The 23,563-nt window shown below is 42.6% G+C and overlaps 1 protein-coding gene across 12 annotated transcripts in view, besides 7 other annotated features; it reads right to left on the bottom strand.

Annotated features, from left to right (window-relative positions):
* Positions 1-23,563, bottom strand: part of MAP3K7CL (MAP3K7 C-terminal like) — a 98,774-nt gene that overhangs the window by 52,469 nt on the left and 22,742 nt on the right. For 3 of the 12 annotated variants that reach the window (NM_001371374.1, NM_001286622.2, NM_001286619.2), the window contains one exon: positions 14,236-14,379. The exons of 6 other annotated variants lie outside the window; for them this stretch is intronic. Coding sequence is in view for 3 of the 6 variants with exons in the window: in NM_001286622.2 (NP_001273551.1) it covers positions 14,236-14,287 (52 nt within the window). In the remaining 3 variants the exon portion in view is untranslated. Of the gene's footprint in view, positions 1-1,205; positions 1,430-13,627; positions 14,380-23,563 lie in introns of those variants that run through there. 3 more of the 12 variants (NM_001371370.1, NM_001371376.1, NM_001286623.2) reach the window with 2 other exon arrangements.
* Positions 725-794: an enhancer, noted in NCBI's record as "active region_18339". NCBI's record gives its function as "activates an Ori minimal core promoter by ATAC-STARR-seq in GM12878 lymphoblastoid cells {active_cell/tissue: GM12878}" and the evidence as "EXISTENCE:reporter gene assay evidence [ECO:0000049][PMID:35858748]".
* Positions 1,205-1,384: an enhancer, noted in NCBI's record as "active region_18338". NCBI's record gives its function as "activates an Ori minimal core promoter by ATAC-STARR-seq in GM12878 lymphoblastoid cells {active_cell/tissue: GM12878}" and the evidence as "EXISTENCE:reporter gene assay evidence [ECO:0000049][PMID:35858748]".
* Positions 1,535-1,584: an enhancer, noted in NCBI's record as "active region_18337". NCBI's record gives its function as "activates an Ori minimal core promoter by ATAC-STARR-seq in GM12878 lymphoblastoid cells {active_cell/tissue: GM12878}" and the evidence as "EXISTENCE:reporter gene assay evidence [ECO:0000049][PMID:35858748]".
* Positions 18,971-19,050: an enhancer, noted in NCBI's record as "active region_18336". NCBI's record gives its function as "activates an Ori minimal core promoter by ATAC-STARR-seq in GM12878 lymphoblastoid cells {active_cell/tissue: GM12878}" and the evidence as "EXISTENCE:reporter gene assay evidence [ECO:0000049][PMID:35858748]".
* Positions 19,081-19,140: an enhancer, noted in NCBI's record as "active region_18335". NCBI's record gives its function as "activates an Ori minimal core promoter by ATAC-STARR-seq in GM12878 lymphoblastoid cells {active_cell/tissue: GM12878}" and the evidence as "EXISTENCE:reporter gene assay evidence [ECO:0000049][PMID:35858748]".
* Positions 23,157-23,451: an enhancer, noted in NCBI's record as "tiled region #4059; HepG2 Activating non-DNase unmatched - State 24:Quies". NCBI's record gives its function as "activates a minimal TATA promoter and a strong SV40 promoter by Sharpr-MPRA in HepG2 cells {active_cell/tissue: HepG2}" and the evidence as "EXISTENCE:reporter gene assay evidence [ECO:0000049][PMID:27701403]".
* Positions 23,280-23,329: an enhancer, noted in NCBI's record as "active region_18334". NCBI's record gives its function as "activates an Ori minimal core promoter by ATAC-STARR-seq in GM12878 lymphoblastoid cells {active_cell/tissue: GM12878}" and the evidence as "EXISTENCE:reporter gene assay evidence [ECO:0000049][PMID:35858748]".

The following is a 23,563-nucleotide window of genomic DNA, read 5'->3' as shown; positions in this document are numbered from 1 at the left end:
TTCTTTTTTTGCAGGACTACTTCATAGACAGCGAATAACATTTATTTAAAAGATCAGCCGGGTACAGTGGCTCATGCCTGTAATCCCAGGACTTTGGGAGGCCAAGGCAGGTGGATCACCTGAGGTCAGGAATTTGAGATCAGCCTGACCAACATGGTGAAACCTCATGTCTATTAAAAATATACAAAATTAGCCAGGCCTGGTGGTGGGCACCTGTAATCCCAGCTGCTTCAGAGGCTGAGGCAGGGGAATCACTTGTACCCAGGAGGCAGAGGTTGCAGTGAGCCAAGATCACGCCATTGCACTTCAGCCTGGGCAACAAGAGCAAAACTCCATTTCAAAAAAAAAAAAAAAAAAAAAAAAGATCATTTCTTCTCCAGTATTGACTTCATTTTGAAAATAGCATTACTTAAGTATAAGCATAAAACTATATATAATCTTTTTATAAAACTCTTACAAAATCAAATGTACAAAGTTCTTATCAACCAATTTTATAATTTAAATTCAAATAAAGTAACAAATTTAAAATACAATTGATACAGACAGGAGGCAGGAAAATACTGGGTAGAAGAGGGCAGTCCCCAGTGAGGACCCCACCCTCAAACCTGGACCCATGGCCCAAAGTAAGAACATGCATTCCTCATTTCCCACCCGAATGTTGCCTTTTCCAAAATCACCCTGGCCTGCCCTGACCCCCATCCTGTACCCAGAAAAACCCCAGCCGCCACTGGCAGCAGAGCGGCAGAGAAGTAGAGAAAAGCAGCAGCAGCTAGACGTTGGTGAGAAGCAGCTTAACTTAAGAGGGACGGCTTGACGGCAGGGCCTCGAAGAAGAGTTTGGCAGTGGATGGCCAAACTCCAGGGGAAGACCACGTTCCCGCTCCATCCCCTTTCCAGCTCTCCATTCCACTAAAAGCCAGTTTCATTGGCAATAAAATCGCCCACAATTTACCATCTTCAATTCGTTCGTGCAACCTGATTCTTCCTGGACACTGAATGAGAGCTCAGGATACAGAGGGCTGTCACATTGAGCTGTTAAACACTTAAGCCATCCGTGAACAGCAAAGCTAAAAAACTGCAGTGTAATACATGCCCTCAGGGCTCCAGGGGTCACGGGTACCCCCCCAGATGCTGTCACAGGGCCGCACAAAGTTCTGCTCCCGCTGACACCCAGAAGCACTCATCCTGGCCCCCGCACCCACTTACCTGCATGTTCCCCATCCCGTAAGGGATTGAGTGCTGCGGGCTCAGTAAACAAGCCACCCCTTTCACAAATCCTGCAAAGGGTCAAGGAAGATTTCCTGTTTTACAACTTAACTACATAAATTTAACATGAGGGAGCACTTTCCAGAAACCAAACAGGTGCACAAACATGAACATGGGACACATTCTGTAGTGTACACTTGGTTTGAGTTCCTCCTCCCCATGCTGATGACTGAGTACTTGCAGGACTTTCCCTCTGTGGCCTGCTTTGCAACTCAAATTTGACTAGTGCCTGTGACATCCTTGGTCTTCATGCAGCAAGAACACATTGTGAGGAAAGTGCTGAGTGCCTGGTGTTCATAAATGTTGGTCTCTCTCTTTTTTCCCCAACCACAGCTACATTTATCCATGAATACAAGCCTCTTAAAATCAGAAGGCCTACGAGATGTAGCCTAAGTACCCTTCAGACATTTCTCAAATAAGCTTCAATGTTAAGGTCATATCTTTACTGAAATTATAAAGGAAACTCATTGAAGTATTTCTAAAAATCCCAAACACTGAACTGCTTGGCTCATTAAAGATCTGGCTCACTACCTTTCTGGTTTATGTCTTTACTTGGACATCCTCCTACTGCAAGAAAGGACCAAATGCCAACCAAACCTCCCATGTGAATGAGAAAAAAGAAAAAAGAAGTTTAGCTCTGAATGAGCCTATATTCTTTCAGTTGCAGGAGTCAAGAACTAACTTAACATTAGCTTGAATACCAACAGGTAATTATTGGTTCACAAAAGTAGGAAATCCAGGGACCTTTTTGTTTAGACATTGATTTACCAAAGGCACAACTGATACCGTTAGGGAACTAACTTACTCCACTTCATGGTCAGCTTTCTTTATTTTAGCTTCATTTTCAGATGGAGTTTTCCCATGAGTTGGCCACCAGCTGCCTACATTTATGTCCTACCAGCTTTACAAACCCATGAAGGGAAGACCTTTTCCCTCAGAATTCCCAGGTAAGACAGTCATTGCCCAAACTTGAGTGCCATTTCCTTCACTGTAGATAATGGGTAGAGTACTTGAACAGATGAAGCCTGCAATACGGTTTCATGAATGAAGTTGGGTAAGAAAGGCATTATTTCTCATATATACACTATATATATATATCTGACTCTGTTGCCCAGGCTGAAGTACAGTGGCACAATCATAGCTCACTGATGCCTCAACCTCCGAGGCTCAAGTGATGCTCCCACCTCAGACTCCCAAGTAGCCGGAACTACAGGTATATGTCACCATGCCTAGCTAATTTTTGTATTTTTTGTAGAAGTGGGGTTTCACCATGTTGCCCAGGCTGGTCTCGAACTCCTGGGCTAAAGCAATCCACCCACCTTGGCCTCCCAAAGTGCTGGGATTATAGGCATGAGCCACCATGCCCAGCCTATTCCTCAAATTGATGAAAGAAAAGGAAGGAAGGAAGAAGGAAGGAAGGAAGGAAAAGAAAGAGAGAAGGAGAGAAAGGAAAGAAAGAAACAGAAAGAAAGAAAGAAAGAAAAAGAAAGAAAGAAAAGAGACTCAAACATTCTATGTTAATACCTTCATGAGTAGAATATGTCGAAATCCCATGAAATATTCTGGTTTTAAGGTGATGAGAAATGAATTATGTGGGGCAAATACTATGTCCCAGACACTCAGCTAGGCCCTTTTCATACCCATGATGTAATTTAATGCACAAAACGCCCCTTTAAGACAGCTACTGTAAATTCCTGCTTTATAGAGGAACTAACTGAGACTTACAAAGTTTCAATGATTTGCCCAAAGTTCCAGAGCTCATAAAGTGTAAGAGCTAATTTGTTTGCCAAAATTAAATCTCTTCATTGACACACCAAAATCCTGTTTATGGTATATGGCTCAAATTGCCTTTGTAGGAGATACCTTTTCATTGGTGCCAAAGATACAAATATACAAAGATACAAATACACAAATATACAAAGACACAAAGATACCAATAGATTGCAGGACTCTGTCTCAAAAAAAAAAAGAAAATTCCCCAAACTGGAAACAAAAGATCAAGCTTCCAAGGAGGAAAAAAATAAGATCTCATAAAAACAATCAATAACCAGAACTGTTTTCATATTTCTCCGTAACAATGCTGGAAACCAGTAGGAAATGGAACTAATGTTCAATATTCTAAAGGAAAAATTATTTCCAACCTAAAGTTCCATATCTGACCAAACTATCAATCAAGTTTTAAGATTAAAGGCCAGGCATGGTGGCTCATGCCTGTAATCCCAGCACTCTGGGAGGCCGAGGTGGATGGATTACCTAAGGTCAGAAGTTCAAGACCAGCCTGGCCAACATGGTGAAACCCCATCTCTATTAAAAATACAAACAAATTAGCCAGGGATGGTGGCAGGTGCCTGTGATCCCAGCTACTTAAAAGGCTGAGGCAGGAGAATCCCTTGAACCCGGGAGGTGGAGGTTGCAGTGAGCCGAGATCATGTCACTGTACTCCAGCCTGGGCAACAAGAGTGAAACTCCATCTCAAAAAAAAAAAAAAAAAGTTTTAGGATTAAGGTCTTCAACAAAATTCTTATATCCCATGCACGTTTTTCAAAAAGCTGCTGGTGTAAACCAGGAAAGAGAAAGCCTGGAACACAGGAAACACAAAGGCGCAACAGCACACAGGGTAAAATGGCCCTTCAGGACGACAATAAAAGGGAATCACAGAGTGACCCTGTGTGCCAGACCTCACAGAAGCAGGTCTGAAAGCCACAAGAATGGCTCCATTAGGAATAGGAAATGGTTAGACTGCTTGATTGATGCCATATTGAAAAGACATTTAGGCAATTGGCAGAAGGGCAAAGACCTTTAGGGTTGAATTAGTGATGAGTACATGGAATAAAAAGGCAAGCAAACAAACAAACAAAAATTTAGCCTGCCCTCCAGGGACAGGGCTGAAACTCTACTGTAAAGTAAAAATAACCATCGTTGACTATTTGCCTCAGCTGTGAATACATTTACACGAGCCTAATATTGTCAGTACTGAATGTTGATCTAACAAAAATTACACTGTGGAAAGGAGGTGGCAGAGAAAGGGTATTTGTGTGTGGGATGGTGTGGGGATGCAGGGAGAGAGCCAAATCCTCATCCTCCATGGGGAGAAGCCAATAGATAATGGCCGAGACTGGTAAAAGCAAGAAATAGTCATGCAAACACATCTCATAAAAGTGGGAAGTAAAGACCAGCACCATCATCTAGACAGTGTTTACCTCTGGAATGGGGAATATGGGAAGTAGGAGGGCTGAGCCCTCTTGGGATTTTTGTAATAAATCTTGCAGAACTATTTGACTCCTTAACATATGCGCATGCACAACTTAAAGAAAAATTAAAATGTTTAAAGATCCATTTGTTGGCTCACTCTTGCCTAAAGAATCACGTCTTTAGTTTGGCATCCAAAGCCCTTCATAATTTGTCCTCCTTTCCTCCATACTCATCTCATGCTCCCACCTTCCCTACAGTGGGGTCACACCGAACTTCTCTCAGTGTTTTCAGATACTATGGCCTCATTGCCAACTTTGTGCCTTCACAGATCAAGGCCCTCACTCCTGTCACCTTGTCTGTGTAGTCATTTCAACCCCTGTCCTCCCAAAACCCTTTGTTCATTCTCCTGCTAATGCACTGAGTACCACATTGTGCTGCTTCCATTTACCATCCCACTGTCACCCCCAATTCAACCAAAGACACATGATCAGTGCCTTGCCCTTAGCAGGGCCTCAGTAAATATTTCTGGAACTAAATTGAACCTGGGATGCAAGTGCCTAATAGGGAAGGTACCCATAAAAGTCAGGGACACACATGGAGAAAAGTTAAGACACTTTGGGAGGCCGAGGCAGGCAAATCACCTGAGGTCAGGAGTTCAAGACCAGCCTGCTCCACATGGTGAAACGCTGTCTCTACTGAAAATACAAAAATTAGCCAGGTGTGGTTGCACGCACCTGTAATCCCAGCTACTCAGGAGGCTGAGGCAGGAGAATCACTTGAACCAGGAGGTGGAGGTTGCAGTGATCTGAGATCATGCCACTGTACTCCAGCCTGGGCAACAGTGCAAGAGTCCGTCTCAAAAAAAATTTTTTTAATTTAAAAAAATTAAATTAATACTCTCTAAAGTTTCTTACAATTCTAAATTGTAGTAGGTGGAGCCAGTCCCTGAATAAAAAAATAATTATCCACAGAATTTCTTCTCTGGTTTTAATTCTGTAAAGATTCAACTGGTTTGTAACAAACCAAAAATACATTTTACAGCAGTCGTCAAGAAAAGAACAGAATAAAGATAATCTCTTCTTCCTGTGGAAGGTAGTTACCAACACAACCCTCAATTTTACTGCCAAACCCATTTAGTCATCGGATATTTGGTACCCGAATAAAATCCATTCAGTCCCTGATCACACTGTGAAACCTGAGGACATTCAAAAAAGTGACAAGAAAGAGATCATGTTTTGTTCATAAAAACATTTTTCAAATTAAGCCATCACATCCTAAAATAGTAGATTAGAATCACCCAGCAGGACTTCTTCCTGAAAGCATGCAAATGCACAATCCTTGTTTAGAAGTGAGTGTCAATTACTTGTGCAGACACAAAAATGACTAATCACTGGGGCCTAATAAGGCACCTGTCAATTTTCCTTTTTTTAGCTTAGCTACTTTCAATTCACAGGAGTTGTCCAATACAAACAGCATTTTGCTGACAGTTTTGTGTGTGCTTCAGCAGTGATAGCATTCAAACTAAAATGGAGCATCAGATATTTCTATCCACTTCTTAAAAATACATTTTAAGAATTACAGTATTAACCACAAATGAATGGCTGCCCAGCCTCACAAATGAGATACAGAAATAGCATTGTTAAGTCCATCAGAGAAGGAATAGCTTTCCATCACCGCTCCAGCTAAATGGGAATGAAGATTTCCTAGAAGAGTCCACAAATAGAAAATGACATTTTCCTGGAACAGAAAAATTCTAGTGAAGGACAGGAGATTATCTTCTTTTGAGATTTAAGGATCTTATAATGTATATTAATTATATTAAATTAAATTAAATTATGTCAAATAGAAGAAATATATTGATAGTTAAGACAGATTTCACAGATGCTTTTGTGTTTGAAATAAGAGTATGCATTATTAAACCACAAAAAGCCTTACTCAAGGTGAGCATGACAATAATTAGAATCAAAGTGATATTTCACCAGTTGCCAAATTAATCTAAACAATTCAAATTAGACAAGTGTGTTCTGCAGGGCCCTTTATGGCCTAAGTACCATGGCAATGGAAGTTATTTATATATCAGGAAATCATTCCTGAACATGAAAAAGTATATTGCTTTAAAAAGCTTTTTGGACTAACTATAGCTGATTCACACCCTGAATGATAAAATTATTTATATATTCAAATTTTTAAAGAACTCTTTGAAGAGCCTAATTAGCATGCTTTTAGTATTCTTTTTCCAAATTTAGATTCTGAAATTCAGAATGAACAAGAATGACATTCCCTGTTTATCAAGAAAAACTAAATGAAGATGAATCAGAATACAGACAGAAGTTTGTACTCTCTTTGGGTTTCTTAAAGGAAGACTTTAGGAAAATTTTATCTGTCATTGACCTGAGATATTTTTAATAATTTTCTTTAAGGACACATTAGGAACAAAAAAAATAGTCATTTCAACGAGATCTTTCCATTTGTGGCTACATGGGCAGTAGGAAAGAATTGAGGCCCATGTGATTCTGTTACTAATGTTAGAGCTAGAAGGCTTCTTTCAGATCATCTAAATCATCCTCTGATTTTACTCGAGAAAACTCATCCATCATTTATATTTACATTTATATTTTTTAAATATTTGTACTTATAAGTTTTCTTCACGTGTTGCTACCAAGATCCCAGATGTCATTTACTTGACTCTTCTAAATTCATGTGACTTAACAAGGTAAGAATCTCATGGCTTGTTCAGTGACAGAGTTAGTATAGCTGAAGATTTATTGTAGCCTGCTATAGCACTGGAAATAGAAATAACGAATAAAAACAAAACTCATGAACTACCCGTCGCCACTGTTTACTGTTGCACATGGGATATAGAAAAGCATTCAAAAATGCTGATTCAATGAAAGAGCTTCACGGAAGAAACCACTAGAGTATACATAAGTAAACTATGCAGAAAGCCACGGAACAGATCGAATCCAAGGCTCGCTTTACCACCAATTCACTGCGTTACTCTGAGCTAGTAACAATTTCTCTGGTTCCCAGATTACTCCTCTGTCATTTTTTAGATTCAATTAATGTTTACATAGACTGCATATGTGTCAGGTAGTACATTAAGGGCTTTAAATAGAATAATTAATTTAGTTCTCACAGTGATCCTGCGAGCAGGGCCAGCTTCCTGGCAAGTGTCACAGGGCCCATGCTCAGAGGGGTCCCACACTTGGTTTGATGCTATGCTGCTGCCGTCTTGAAAGGTGAACAAGGGGCCCAGCATTTTCATTTCATTGAGATTTGAACAAGAGTCTGGAAGCTATGGAACCAGTCCTACCTATGAGGCAAGAACTATTATCACCCCAGTTTTACAGATGGGGAAATGGAGGTAAAGGGAGGTCAAATAACCTGCCTACGGTCAAAAAGCTAGTCATTTTTGAAGTCAAGTTTCACATCCAGGCCATGACTGTGACCACTCTGGCCCCCTGCACTCAGGGATAACTCTGGAGGCCTTTATAGCTAAGTTCCCTGATATTTCTGCAATTCCAACTAAGGCCCTCTACTAAAAAGAATGTTGATTTCACTCTTTCCTCCTTCCATCAATGCTTTTTATAGATGCAGAATTGCAGTGAATAGAGAAAAACACAAACAAGCCAAATCTGAAAAAAGAACTGCTTAGCTAAATGAAAGGTGAGATGGTTTTAAATGGTCGTAGCAGGGGCTTAGCTATTTAAATGACAAGCTAAACAGGATACCTTTTGGGCTATTTCAGACTCTGATCCTCAAATTAGAGTTTTTAGGAGTGGGATCTAGAGCCCTACATGGGGAAGACCAAGTTAGCCCGGCATGATGAGGCCACAGCAGAGGCGGGACACATCAAAGGAAGCACTCTGCACTGCCTTATATAGACGTGAAAACAGCCCAAACCCCCTGCTGTCCAATGGGCAAACATAAATAAATGGTTTGCATCAGCTGAGGATCAAATACTAAAGAAAACAGTCAAGATTTCCTCAGGGCTCTGTGTCAAAGGTCAAGTCTCCTGTAGAGAGAAGCATCTGGCCTCCTGTGGCTCCTAGATTTTCTTGTCCAAGTCTTTCCACACCCACCTTCTATCGAAAGTAACCTTGGGTGACTCACTTTGACTAGAATATTTGAGCTCAAGGGGATGGAATGTAGACATTCCCATTAATCCAGGGCCTGGTCTACACCCTACAGTCTCTGAGAGTTTATTATTATTATTATTTGCCGTCATTTAGGTTTCCATCTATACTCTGCTTTTGAATTTTAAAAATCATAGCCAGGTGCAGTGGCTCATGCCTGTAATCCCAGCACTTTGGGAAGCCAAGGCAGGTGGATCTTTTGAGCCCAGGAGTTTGAGACCAGCCTGGGCAACATAGCAAGAACCTGTCTCTACAAAAAATACAAAGCTTAGCCAGGTGTAGTGGCTCACACCTGTAGACTCAGCTACTTGAGAGGCTGAGGTGGGAGGATCAATTGAGCTCGAGAGGTCGAGGTTGCAGTGAGCCGTGATTGCACCACTGTCCTCCAGCCTGGGTGGCAGAGCAAGGCCCTGTCTCAAAAATAAATAAAAAATAAATAAATATAAAAACAAAATAAGGCCTGGCATGGTGGCACACACCCGTAATCCCAGCACTTTGGGATGCCGAGGTGGGCAGATCAATTTTGACCAAGAGTTCGAGACCAGCCTGGTCAACATGGCGAAACCCTGCCTCTACTAAAAATACAAAATTTAGCTAGGCATGGTGGCGCATGCCTGTAGTCCCAGCTACTTGGGAGGCTGAGACATGAGAATCTCTGGAACCCAGGAGGCAGAGATTGCAAAGAGCCGAGATTGCGCCACTGCACTCCAGCCTGGGTGACAGAGCAAGACTCTGTCTCAAAAATAAGTAAATTATTTAATTTAATTTAATTAATTAGAATAAAACTCTCCTTTTATTTAACTCCCAAATATAGATCAATGAAAAGGCACCCCAGATTTGGGCAGAAATGATACCTCTAAAAAGAACCACAGAAGCTGCTATTCTAAACCAAGCACACTCCTTCCTCATTGCCAAATGCCCTCGCCCAGTGCAGACCAGAACCATATGAGCAACACTGAACAGGCCAGCAATTGATGCTTAAGTAGGCATTATATGGCCGGGCGTGGTGGCTCATGCCTACAAGTAATCCCAGCACTTCAGGAGGCCGAGGCAGGCAGATCATCACCTGAGGTCAGGAGATTGAGACCACTCTGACCAACATGGTGAAACCCCATCTCTACTAAAAATACAAAAATTAGCTGGGCATGGTGGCACACCTGTAATCTCAGCTACAGGGGAGGCTGAGGCAGGAGAATTGCTTGAACCTGGGAGGCAGAGGTTGCAGTGAGCTGAGATTGTGCCACTGCACTCCAGCCTGGCACAAGAATTGCTTGAGCCCAGGAGGCAGAGGTTGCAATGAGCTGAGATCATGCCACTGCACTCCAGCCGCAGTGAGCACAGAGCGAGCAACCAGGTGGATTGTTCAGATTTACACATGCCAAGAGAAAGAGAGATGGGGGAAGGCCTCTGGGAGAACAGTGAAGGAAGTCCAAATTCAAGTCTGAAGTCAGTCTGGAGCTAAAAATTACAATTTCCCAACTAATATTGCATGAGTTGGAAGAAAGGAAGGCCACGTTGAGGTCCAAAATAGTGGCATAAAATATTTAATAGAATAAATATCTTAAAGCACAAAGCAAAAATATACACGATGGAAATTATGAAGAAAAAGAATTTTGAGAGAAAATGGTCACAATCCAAAAATCCTATATCCAAACCACCTGCCAGTTTAAATCATAATGAAATTCCAAGGCACAGAGGAAGAGGAAAAGAAAATAAGATATAGATAAATGGGGCCGGGCGCAGTGGCTCACGCCTGTAATCCCAGCACTTTGGGAGGCCAAGGCGGGTGAGGAGTTTGAGACTAGCCTGGCCAACATGGCAAAACCCGTCTCTACTAAAAGTAACAAAAATTAGCTGGGTGTTGTGGCACAGGCCTGTAATCTCAGCAACTCGGGAGGCTGAGACAGGAGAATCGCTTGAACCCAGGAGGCAGAGGTTGCAGTGGTGCGCACTCTAGCCTGGGAAACAGAGTGAGACTCCATCTCAAAAAAAAAGAAAAAAAAAAAATTTCCAAAGGTCTCGTTTGCTGGGAGGAAAGGCAGAAGAATGAAGAAATGTATTCTGATGGAGGGAGAAAGCATGAAGTTTAAAAGACATCTGGATTAGGGAAATAATTGGTATCTTGTTTTCAAAAATCATAAAGAAAGATCTATGTAATTATGAGAGACAGGAAGGGAACACAGAATGAAAAAATATACTAATTATCAAGGGAAAAGAAAGAAACTGAACTTGATCAAACCTACCAAAGAAAGGGAAAAAAGAAAATAACATAAAAATGTATAAAATAAATAAATATAAAGTCAGATATATGAGATAAAATCTAATACATCAATCATTAAACTACAAAGCAGAGAGTGGGTTTTTTAAAAAATCCTAGGTTAATACTAATTGCAAGGAAGACACATAAAACAAAGTAATAAAAGAAAAATTTGCTGCTGTAAGGATTGAAGAGTGCATCTAATTTCAGTCCTTCCAAAAACTATAATGAAAGATTTTTTTATGTTTTATTTTATTTTATTTTAATTTTTTGAGACAGAGTCTTGCTCTGTCGCCAGGCTGGAGTGCAATGGCGTGATCTCAGCTCACTGCAACCTCTGCCTCCTGGGTTCAAGCGATTCCCTTGCCTCAGCCTCTTGAGTAGCTGGGACTACAGGTGCACGCCACCACACCTGGCTAATTTTTTTGTATTTTAGTAGAGATGGGGTTTCACCATGTTGGCCAGGATGGTCTTGATCTCCTGACGTCAGGTGATCCTCCCGCCTAGGCCTCCCAAAGTGCTGGGATTACAGGTGTGAGCCACCGTGCCTGACCTAACAAAAGATTTTGCAATGAAAGAAGACAGAGCTTTAAGGACGTGGAGGATTGGAGAGGAGGCAATACAAAGTCTGGGTTTGGAAAGCAGACATAAGAATGAGAGCTGGCTTAGCACATCAGTGGGTTTAAGTCATCCATGGGAAAGGTGAAGAATCAACTTGATTTGCAACACAGTATTCACAAAAAGCTCAGGAATGGGAGGCACTAGGTGCCTCTGGAAGTGGGGGCAAAGTGAGAAACTAAAATAAGGATGGTTTGAAATCTGTTTAAGACACAGTCAGACTCTTCAATCCCTTTCTACTCCACCCTCCTTTCCTCACCCCAGAGTTAGGCTTCATTCTTTGGAGAAGGGGGAAGAAAGGCTGTCTCCCTACACCAGCCTGGACTTAAGGGGGATTAAGTGAAAACACGTAGACTTCCAGTCCTTCTCAAAATCCACAATGCAAACAGTCAAGCTCTCACCCTCCAGGCAAGAGATGAAGATTCTTCTCAAGAGACTTGGACAAGAAGATAGATCTAAACATGTTGATGTGGTGCAGTGGGAAGGGGGACAATGGAGGGGTAGGGAATAGAGCTCCTCACCAATCCAAACAGTGGGGTCACTCTGTACTCCATAAGCCCACCTGACACACCCAGAACACCAGCCAGCCTCTTAGCTCCCCACTGTTAAATAAGAGCAGACAACTAAGGATGATGAGACATCCAAGGAACGTTTTTTGTTGTTGTTGTTGTTGTTGTTTTGTTTTTTCTTTTTTTGAGAAGGAGTCTCGCTCTGTCGCCCAGGCTGGAGTGCAGTGGTGTGATCTCGGCTCACTGCAACCTCCACCTTCCGGGTTCAAGCAATTCTTCTGCCTCAGCCTCCCGAGTAGCTGGGACTACAGGCACTCACCACCACGCCTGGCTAAGTTTTTGTATATTTAGTAGAAATGAGGTCTCACCCTATTAGACAGGATGGTCTTGATTTCCTGGCCTTGTGATCCGCCCACCTCAGCCTCCCAAAGTGCTGGGATTACAGCCGTGAGCCACTGCGCCCAGCCCCCAAGGAACATTTTTTACATGGAAGACAGGGACCAAAAACAGCAATGAGAGACAATGCTGAGAGTGAGAGAACTCTTTTTAAAATATATACGTTCAGATTTAAGATATTGCATCCATGAAATACGAATAGAATAGCATTTTTAAAAGAAACATTCAGAGAACAAAAAGAAGTTCTTCACAATTAAGAACATGAAAGCAGAAATGAAAAATTCAATAGAAGGGGTGGGACATGAAGTTTAGGAACTACCAGCAAATAGAACAAAAAGGTACAGAGATGGCCGAGTGTGGTGGCTCATGCCTATAATCCCAACACTTTGGGAGACTGAGCGGGGGTGGATCATTTGAGATCAAGAGTTTGAGACCAGCCTGGCCAACATGGTGAAATTCCATCTGTACTAAAAATATAAGAATTAGGTGGGCCTGGGGGCACACACCTGTAATCCCAGCTACTTGGGAGACTGAGGCAAGAGGATTGCTTGAACTGGGGAGGTGGAGGTTGCAGTGAGCTGAGATCACGCCACTGTACTGCAGCCTGGGCAACAGATAGAGACCCTGCCTCAAAAAAAAAAAGATACAGAGATAAAAAACGGAGCAACAGGATGATAAGAACATTAGAGCATTAGTCCCCCAAGCATCTGAATATAGAAATTCCAGAAAGTGAAAAAGTAGACGTACCTCAAAGTTAATGACTTTAGTCAAAATTGTAATTGATGTGAGTGATGGAGGGATATGGTGGCAAAGAAATATGAATATATGTTCTAATAGTGGATGTGTTTTTTATTTATGGAAAATAGATTAATTTTGTGTTTAAAGAAAAATGGCTGGTTGCTGTAGATGTAATGGAAGATAGTAAAAGAAAAAACGTGAATGGTTAAAAGTTATACAAGGCTTGAAGAAAAGTAAAAATATGCTCAAATTTACTAATAGTCACAGAAATGCAAGTAAGTACACAGTATCATATCACTTTATACAGCATTGTACTCATAACATTCTAAAAATAGATAACATCTCTTGTTGGTGGGTTTGCAGGAGAAATCTACTACACATTGCTAGATTAATGTCTTCTTGGAGAGCAATCTGACAATAACAGAAGACAAATTCAACATACCCTTTGACCCAGAAATCCCACTCCTGGGAGTCTACACTATGTATATATATAAGAAGCAGCAGCAGAACGTAAGATATAAGTAAAAGACACTTTATTAGACCATTGTACAATTTTGCCTAGGGCCAGCTTGAGATATAACTGTTTGTATAAGGTTTGTATAAGGTTGCAGTGAGCCGAGATCATGCAGAGAACCCTAAATGCAGAGTAATTATCACTTATAGACATTCATCATTACTATATCAACTCTGTGACGAGGGGAATAATGTGCTATTTACATTAAATGTGCAGTTTATAAATCAAAAAATGGATTTCAGTAGAGTAAAGTACTTATGGAATTGCTGGTCAAAATCTATTCCTGTATCTCTGCCAACAACTGTTAACAAAGAGAACAACCGAATGCTGAGATGGGGGTTTTGCCAGAAGTCTCACACTTAGTGAAATACTTAACACCTCCTGGCTGAGCATTTTTTAAAGCTCTCTCTGATTTCAAGGAGTTGATCTATCTTTCTATTACTAATGAAAATCAAATTAATTACTAGAAGGAATAGTGATCATGGCATTAATTAAATGGGCACAAAATAAGCATTACACACACATGCACTATCTGGTTGTATATATGGAATTTCTTCTTCCTCGGAGCTCATAGCACTTAATACTTACCCACCCTTCCCTATGTCCATACCTGCAGTCCGCACTGGTGGAAAGGGCGTTAGGGAAGAGGAAGAAACAAGCATCTTCAGTCAGGCCCAGGTGGTCTTCATAATTTGGAAATGAAATGATGAACAAGGTTTCTCTGATAGGATCCAGGAAGGTTACGAATGTCAACCTAGTAGGAAGTAGAATTTTCTGATTCTAGAAAATTATTTGGGTCCAGCCGACATTGAATTCAGATTCAAGTTGACCTTCAAGACTGTAACCAAAGCATTCATGCATTTCTCATTTTGACTAATTTTCACACCATTGGAGCTGACTGAACACTGCAAAATTATTTTTGACTGTTTCATTTGACCTCCTAAACATTCTACAGTTTATTCTACTGAGGCAGGGAGATGAATAACACCACCAACAATACTTATGTTTTCCTTTACAGTTTGCAAAACATCTTCTCATACTTCATCTCATTGGAACTCCCAACAGTGCTGTGAGATGGCACCAACAAGACAGGGATTATTATGATGCTAATTTGACAAATGAGGATACTGGGACTCAGAGAGGGGAGTGGTTTGTCCAAACATACCCAGATGCTGTAAGGTATACTGCACTTTAAATTCAGTTCTTCTAAGGTTACATTCAGTACTGATATAAGCACAGGGAAATATGTATTTTTTTATATACTACTGGTAGGAATGCCAACTGGTATAATGTTTCTGGAGGACAATTTGGCAGTAGGTGTCAAAAACCTTTTAGTCAGCTTAGGCTGCCATAAGAAAATACTATAAATTAGAGGGCTTAAACAACAGGAATTTATTTCTCACAGTTCTAGGCTAGGAAGTCCAAGATCAAGGTGCTAGCTGATTCCATTCCTGATGAGGGCTCTCTTCGTAGCTTGCAGACAACCACCTTCTTGCTATGTCCTCACATGACCTCTTTTTTGTGTGCGCATGGAGAGAGGGGGCTATCTGGTATCTCTTCTTATAAGGACACTAAGCCTATCTGATCAGGGTCCCACTCTTACGACTTTATTTAATTAGGTCCTAAAGACCCTGTCTCAAAATACAGTCACAATGAGGGTAAGAACTTCAACATATGAATTCTAGGGGGACACAGACATTTAATCAATAACAATATGTATACTCTTCAAGCTCGTAGTTTCCTTCCCAGGAAATTAACTCAAGAAAATAACTAATCCCATTTATCAAAATATATGTAAATAAGTATGTTCCTTGCAATGTTGTTGGGCAAAATACATTTCTGAACTTCAGTTTACTCATATACAAAAAGAGAGATAACAGCAAGACATACTGCATAGAGTTGTCATGAATATTATGAAGTTGCAGCACAATGCCTAGCAAACAATAATTTCCATATCAGTTATTTTCACTAACCTTTAATAGAATACTCAACAAAAATAGTTTAACCAATGGACATTTATCCTCTCACATAACAAGAAGTCCAGAGACAGGATTGATTAATGTAGCAGTTCAATAAAGTCAACACTTTGTTTTAGTGTCCCTATTTTTTTCATAACTTTATTCGCTCATGGTCTCAACATGGCTGCTGCAGCTCAAGATACCACATCCCCACGTGACAACTTCCAAAGACAGGTGGGGGTGGCAAGGGAAGAAAATCTTTCCCAGAGGCTCTCATTAGACTTCCCCAGAACCAGGGAACAGGCCTACCCTAAATCACTGCAGAAAGAAATAGGATTATCATGATTCACTTACACCACTTTTCCTGCGGAAACAAAATAGGATCACAAAAGGGAAATCACTCTTGTTTGGGCTGCCGGCAGTCTCTATACTGTTGCTTTCTGTTCCTGAGAGTTCATCCTTCATCTTAGACCAATTTTCTTTATAAGTCAGACTTTTTTGTTTTCTTTCTTTCCTTTTTTTAGATGGAGTCTCGCTCTGTTGCCCAGGCTAGAGTGCAGTGGCGAGATCCCTGCTCACTGCAACCTCCGCCTCCTGTGTTCAGGCAATTCTCTGCCTCAGCCTCCTGAGTAGCTGGGATTACAGGTGTCCACCACCATGCCCGACTAATTTTTGTATTTTTAGTAGAGACGGGGATTCACCATCTTGGCCAGGTTGGTCTTGAACTCCTGACCTCATGATCCACCCGCCTCGGCCTCCCAAAGTGCTGAGATTACAGGCGTGAGCCACCACGCCTGGCCTAAGTCAGACTTTAATACACCCCAGACTTTGAATGCCAGCCATCTTCCTTCTCTTAGCAGTCAGCCCTAAAGCCCTACACAGGCCTGCCTTCTTTCTTCCCCAACAAGCCGCAGCTTGGACAGAATTGGACAAAGCTATCAGAAAGAGCAAGATCCTGTGCTTCAAGGACTGGCAGAATAGACAAGTGTTCAGGATGGGGCTAGGGGCGGAGAGTAGGGCAGAGGCCTGCTCCAACAGCTTGGCCACATGAGGCTCTGTGTGCAGAACCATAACAAGGCAGAAACTAGTCTGAGACGCAGAGACAAAGCCCCACTGCTCAGAGCTGGGACATCAGGCTAGAGAGGGACTAGTGGCAGCAGTGACTCAATTCTAAACCTTTCAATACTGAACTCATGTCTGATCCTTAAAACTTTCTGGCCAGAGGTCATGTTCCCGAACTGGCACACGTGGTTGTACAGATTGTGATCAGTGCAAGGGCCCCAGACTGAGAGAAGTGGATGGGGATAAAACCCAGCTCAGCAATGCTCTCCAAGCCATAACCCCATTATTGGAGTCTATCTTCCTAAAGAAGTAGGTGCCTCTTTCTTCGGAAGTACTGCCTTTTTCAGGCGGATCACCTGAGGTCAGGGATTCGAGACCAGCCTGGCCAACAGGTGAAATTCTGTCTCTACTAAAAATACAAAATTAGCCAGGTGTGGTGGTGCATGCCTGTAGTCCCAGCTACTCGGGAGGCTGAGGCAGAATAGCTTGAACCCGGGAGGCAGAGGTTGTGGTGAGCTGAGATCATGCCGCTGTACTCCAGCCTGGGCGACAGAGCAATACTCCATCTCAAAACAAAAAAAAAGTGCCGTTTTCTTAGTACTTTCAAAGGAGTCTTATCCTTGACATGCCCTGGACCACACAGAAGAAGATGCCTTTTCCTGATTTGTGTGGAAATTCCATATAGGTTACTTATACCCCAGTCTGGCTTGATCTTAGAGCCTAGGGATTAGTGTGAGCCTACAGATGAGAAGACAGGGAGGTTCATGGGGTCTCAATTTTGTGAAGAAAAGGCCAGGAACCATGCAAGACCTGGCCAGGGATTAATTTTGTAGAGCTACCTTCAGCAACATTTTAAGAAAAAGAATTCATAAGGAGTAGAATTTTTTTCTGTCTCCCTCTATGTAGCCCTCTTCCAACAGTCAGAGTACAGGATCATATGCATTTTTTCTATCCAAGCATCAACTCCAGACAGGACTCACCTTAGTCCCATACAATGTGGGGAGGTGATTTAAAACGCTCTTGAATGTCACTGCCCCTCCTCCCCCACTGGCCCCTTCCACACAGAGCTTCTAAGACGAGATTTATGAAAAGACTGTTTCTCTGAAGGAACTGCTTATAAGCTCTTCCCCATGTGGTTTCATGGCCCTGTGCCTCTATCTGGTATGTTTTTTCCCACTGCCTGGAATCTCTTGCCCCATCCCACTTCTCCAGATAAATAATTACACACTCCTTCCTCAAGGATCCCATAGCTCTTGAATGTCCTTTAGATCATTAATCACACAGTACTAGGATTATTCCTTTATAGGTATAACTGGATAACTAAGCAGGAAGCTCCTCCCTGAGGCCAAAGACCTCATCCTTATCATCTTGGTTTTCAGCTCAGAGCTCGAGAGGCTCAGTGGAATGAGCAACAGGAAGAAGGCAGGGCAGAATCAGATCTGTTGAATGTTAATCATCAGCATGGCATGGGAAGGCGGAGGAAGAGAATGAACGATCACCTGTAGGAGGACTGAGAAAGATCAGAGAGCAAGGCCTTTTTCAATATAGCATTCCCCAGGGCAAGCTCCACTTCCAGTGATGGGGTCATTGTAGACGGAAAGCAAAAAATGAGGAATTGCCCAGAGAATGATTGGTGATTAGATCCCACCACTAACTCAGAGCTGGATTCTTGGGTGGAAATCAGACAGCTCCTGCCATTTGAATGTTAGGGGGCTTCCAATGAGACCTTCTTCCCTTTTTAGGAAACATGTGGGAAAGTCTTACCCGTGGCTTATCTCCAGTTCCCTATGCATGGTTCTTCAATAATTAGAACCCTGAGTTTCTCCAGGAGAGCTGGTGATTCATGAAAAACTATCGAATGGATCTGGTGGGGGCAAAGCTAGGCCTGTGTCCAGAGTCTTAGGCCAAGGCATGAAAAGACTGCAGGAAGGATACCACTTCGAAAAGAGGGTACATGTAGAAAGAGAATCCACCTCAGCTAACGAGGATTAGCCGAAGGACACGCTGTGGTTCATAGCAAGCGCACTTTTGGGGTGATGCTTCCTGGAGTGCTGTAATTGGAGACAACCGCACACACATTCTGCCATTCAGGCAGGTCAGCAAATACCCAGCCTTTCCTGTGTGTGATTCCAAATACTCCAGCTCAGGACAGTGTCAGGTTTCTATGGAGGACTTTTCTAATCCAGACAAGCTTTCCCGGCTTCGGCAAAGGAGGTTCTCAAATTCACAGCATGTGCGTAAGGCTGGTTAGCACAGAATTGAAAACAGCAAAGCTTGCCTCCACGTGGGGGATTTGCTTATTGTTCTGTCCACCATGCAACTGGAAATGAAACAACTACTACAGGCATCACCAACACAGGCCACGAACAATGGAATGAGAAGTCAACTCATTTAAAGGTAGGGAAAGTGATTTTCTTCTGCAGAGACAGCAATAGTTTACATGTAAACCACAGCTCTTGCCAAGAGGAGAAATGAAGAATAGTTTTGAAATGAGAACAGAAAAAACCCCGAGAAAAAAAAAATGTCTGTTGTTTTTAAAGGGTTGTCTGTGCTGGTGCTGATGCTGCTGGGACCAAGGACCACCCTTTGAGCAGCAGAGCCTCATGGGACACAAGGCCTGATACTGATTTGCAAAAAACCAAACAAACAAAAAACACACAAACTACAACAAAACAAATATGTATCAAGAAGGGGAAAAAAGTAAACAACATCATGGCAAGAGTTTGTGTTGCTGGGTGCTCTCAACACAAATTAAAGCATTGTCAGTTTCCTCCATATTAGGTATCTACTGCTGTGCAAGAAAAAAAAAATTACTCCAAAAGCTTAAAACAGGAATTGCCAAACTTTTTATTTTAGTTTAGTTTAGTTTTGAGACAGGGTCTCACTCTGTCACCCAGGCTGAAGTGCAGTGGAGCAATCACAGCTTGGCTCACTGCAGCCTCAACCTTCTGGGCTCAAGTAATCCTCCCAACTCAGCCTCCCTGAGTAGCTGGGACTACAGGTGCATAACATCATGCCTGGCTAATTTTTTTTTTTTTTGAGACAAAGTCTCACTCTGTCACCCAGGCTGGAGTGCAGTGGCACGATCCCGGCTCACTGCAACCTCCACCTCCCAGGTTCAAGCAACTCTCCTGCCTCAGCTTCCCAAGTAGCCTGGACTACAGGAGCATGCCACCACGCCTGGCTAATTCTTTTGTACTTTTAGTAGAGATGAAGGGTTTCATCACGTTGGCCAGACTGGTCTCGAACTCCTGACCTCAAGTGATCTGCCCTCTTCGGCCTCCCAAAGTGCTGGGATTACAGGCATGAGCCACCGCGTCTGACTGTAATTTTTAATTTTTTTTTTGTAGAGATGGGTCTTATCATGTTTCCCAGGCTGGTCTGGAACTTCTGGGCTCCTGTGATCCTCCTGCCTCAGCCTCCCAAAGTGCTGGGATGACAGACGTGAGCCACCATGCCCAGCCATGAACCTTCCTTCTGTAACATACGGCCAAATGGTAAACATCTTCAGCTTTGTGGGTCACATAGTTGCTATCACAATTACTCAACTGTGCTGTTGTAATGGGAAAGTAGCCATAGACACTATATAAACCAACAGACATGGCTTTGTCCCAATAAAACATTATTTACAAAGACAGGCTGCAGACTGGATTTGGCCTTGGAGCAGTACTTTGCCAACCCCTAGCTTAAAATAACAAATACCCATTACCTCTCACAGTTTCTATGGGTCAAGAATCTGGGAGCAGCTTAGCTAGGTGGTTCTGGCTGAGAGTCTGTCCCGCAGTTGCAATCGATCTGTTAGCTGGTGGGGGCAGCAGTCCTGTGATGGCTTGACCAAGGCTGGAGGATCTGCTTCCAAGATGACTCATTTACATGGCTGTTAGCAGGAGACCTGAGTTCCTCATTACATGGACCCCTCTATAGGGTTGCTTGAGTGCCCTCACCACATGGCAGCTTCCCCCAGAGTCCATAATCCAAGAGAGAATAAGAAAGAAGCCATGAGGCATTCTATGACCTAATTATACATATTCCGTCATATTTTATTCTTTAGAATTGAGTCATTTATCCAGTCCACACTTTTAAAAAGGGAACCTAGTCTCCCCCCTTTTGGGGCTAAAAAGATGAAAACAAGAAGGTCATAGAATCAATTCAATTTCAGCCAGGCACGGTGGCTCATGCCTGTAATCCCAGCACTTTGAGAGGCGGAGGAGGGAGGATCTCTTGAGCTCAGGAGTTCCAGACCAGCCTGGGCAACATAGCGAGACCCTGTGTTTAAAAAAAAAAAAAAAAAAAAAAGAGAGAGAGAGAGAGAGAATCAAGTCAGTCTTGATATCTTGGCCAAATGTGTGATCTATGTCTTAAAAAGCTGAGATTTAGCCTTATTTCTGAGGCTTGTTTCCACCATATACTTAATTTTTCTGTTTCTTGAGCCTCAGTTAAGTCAACTGACTTGAAATTCCAAGAACGGCCTCTTTGTTAATGGAAAGCCACAGGTCTCCATGGATTGTTGTACCTTTTGTGCACTGCACAAGAAGAGGCACAGATGAGAAGTGACTGAAATCCAACCTGGACTCAGTTCGCCACACTCTGTTCCCTAAAGAAGGAGATAATCTTTGTCTTTCTTCTGCTCAAAGAGGGCACCTCTGCAAGGATCCCCACAATGTGATTCATGTGCCAGCAGTGCCCCTGGGATGTTGATTGTTTACATGATTTAGCCCCAATCTTGGTACTTTCTTTAGATCCTGACTGTGACATCCACCACATTCTCCATCTCTCAGTCACTTTCTCTGTTGGTGGGTTTTGCACACCCAGAGAGTACATAAGAATCCTTTGGGATTCAGGTGAAAAAATAATGGAACTTCTATTTGTAACTTTTTAAATCTAAAGAATGAATGAAAGTAAGTCACTATTAGTTAATAGATTAACACTGGCACATGTGTTAACTTATAAATAAATATATATATTTGAAGTGAACACTTACAAGTTTTTACTGACACATAATCAAGAAAAATTAGATACTATTGTTTTATATCATCATCTAAGTCACTGATAAAAATGTTAAATGTGGCCGGGCACGGTGCCTGAAGCCTGTAATCCCAGCACTTCGGGAGGCCAAGGCAGGTGGATCATGAGGTCAGGAGATCGAGACCATCCTGGCTAACACAGTGAAACCACGTCTCTACTAAAAATACAAAAAATTAGCTGGGCATGGTGGCGGGCGCCTGTAGTCCCAACTACTCAGGAGGCCGAGGCAGGAGAATGGCTGAATCCGGGAGGTGGAGCTTGCAGTGAGCAGAGATGGCGCCACTGCACACCAGCCTGGGTGACAGAGCGAGACTCCGTCTCAAAAAAACAAAACAAAACAAACATGTTAAACAAGACCAGGCTGAGAACAAAGCCTTCAGGTGAACATTGATCCAATAATCTGTGTGGGTGACATTATTACTTGACCCAGTATCTAATCCCAAATCAATCATTATGAAGCAGATACTCTGTGCTAGACAGCCTGGAAAATGGTCTCCAATGATTCCACTTCCTGCTTTTCACACCCATGTAAATGGCATTTTGCATGACCTATCATGCAGCTTTGTAGTAGATGCTGAGCCTGAGGTATCCAGCGAAGCCACACCCAGATTGCTGACCCACAGAAATCGTAAGATAAAAAATGTTTGCGGCCACGCGCGGTAGCTCATGCCTGTAATCCCAGATCCACAGACCTCCATCTTCCTGTGACAGACTAATTAAAAAAAAAAAAAAAGAGGGACCGGGCGCAGTGGCTCATGCCTGTAATCCCAGCACTTTGGGAGGCCGAGGCGGGCGGATCACGAGGTCAGGAGATCGACACCATCCTGGCTAACCCGGTGAAACCCTGTCTCTACTAAAAATACAAAAAATTAGCCAGGTGTGGTGGCGGGCACCTGTAGTCCCAGCTACTCGGGAGGCTGAGGCAGGAGAATGGTGGGAACCCAGGAGGTGGAGCTTGCAGTGAGCCGAGATCGTGCCATTGCACTCCAGCCTGGGTGACAAGAGTGAGAGACTCCATCTCAAAAAAAAAAAAAAAAAAAAAAAAAAAGTTTGCTGTTTTAAGCTGCTAATGTTGGGGTTATCTGTAACACCGTAATAGATAACTACTACACTTTTCCAGGTGATGCGTAATAGTTTGCAATAACCAACAACTCTGTGATCTAACTATTATCATCTTCATTTTACAGAGAAAACGGAGACTCAGAATATTTACATGACTTTCCCAAACTCAAAACAGCTAGTAAATGACAGCACTGGAAGTTAAATCCAGTGTGGCTCTGAAATCCACACTCTAACTAGCTGTATGACTTTGGGAAAGTTACTGCAACCTCTTAGTAGTCAGTTTCCTCATCAGTAAAATTAAGGACTGAAACAAAGTATTCATCTCTATTTTTCTAAAATTTCATACCCCTCCTCTGCTTTATCCGTAGCCCAAGAAGCGAACTGAAATGATATTTATACTAAGAAATGTGGAGTGGGGAAACAAGGGTTTGAAGATTACTCAATTGAGATGAAGAAAGGCAGCCATGCCGAAAACCAGTGAGGCTTGTGACTCTCCAGGGCATACGTGGCTGATGCTGACAGCTTCCTATTCATTCGGGCTGCCGCTCAGAGGACAAAGGTGGGAGGAGGAGATCCATTTCCTTTTTTTTTTTTTTTTTTTTTAAAGACGGAGTCTCGCTCTGTCGCCCAGGCTAGAGTGAGGTGGCGTGATCTCGGCTCACTGCAAGCTCCGCCTCCCAGGTTCACGCCATTCTCCTGCCTCAGCCTCCCGAGTAGCTGGGACTACAGGCGCCCGCCACCACGCCCGGCTAATTTTTTGTATTTTTAGTAGAGACGGGGTTTCACCGTGTTAGCCAGGATGGTGTCGATCTCCTGACCTCGTGATCCGCC

Source organism: Homo sapiens, chromosome 21 (genome assembly GCF_000001405.40).
Source record: "Homo sapiens chromosome 21, GRCh38.p14 Primary Assembly".
Taxonomy (NCBI): domain Eukaryota; kingdom Metazoa; phylum Chordata; class Mammalia; order Primates; family Hominidae; genus Homo; species Homo sapiens.
The sequence above is the reverse complement of the archived record's forward strand: the minus strand, read 5'-3'. Positions and strand labels throughout refer to the sequence as shown.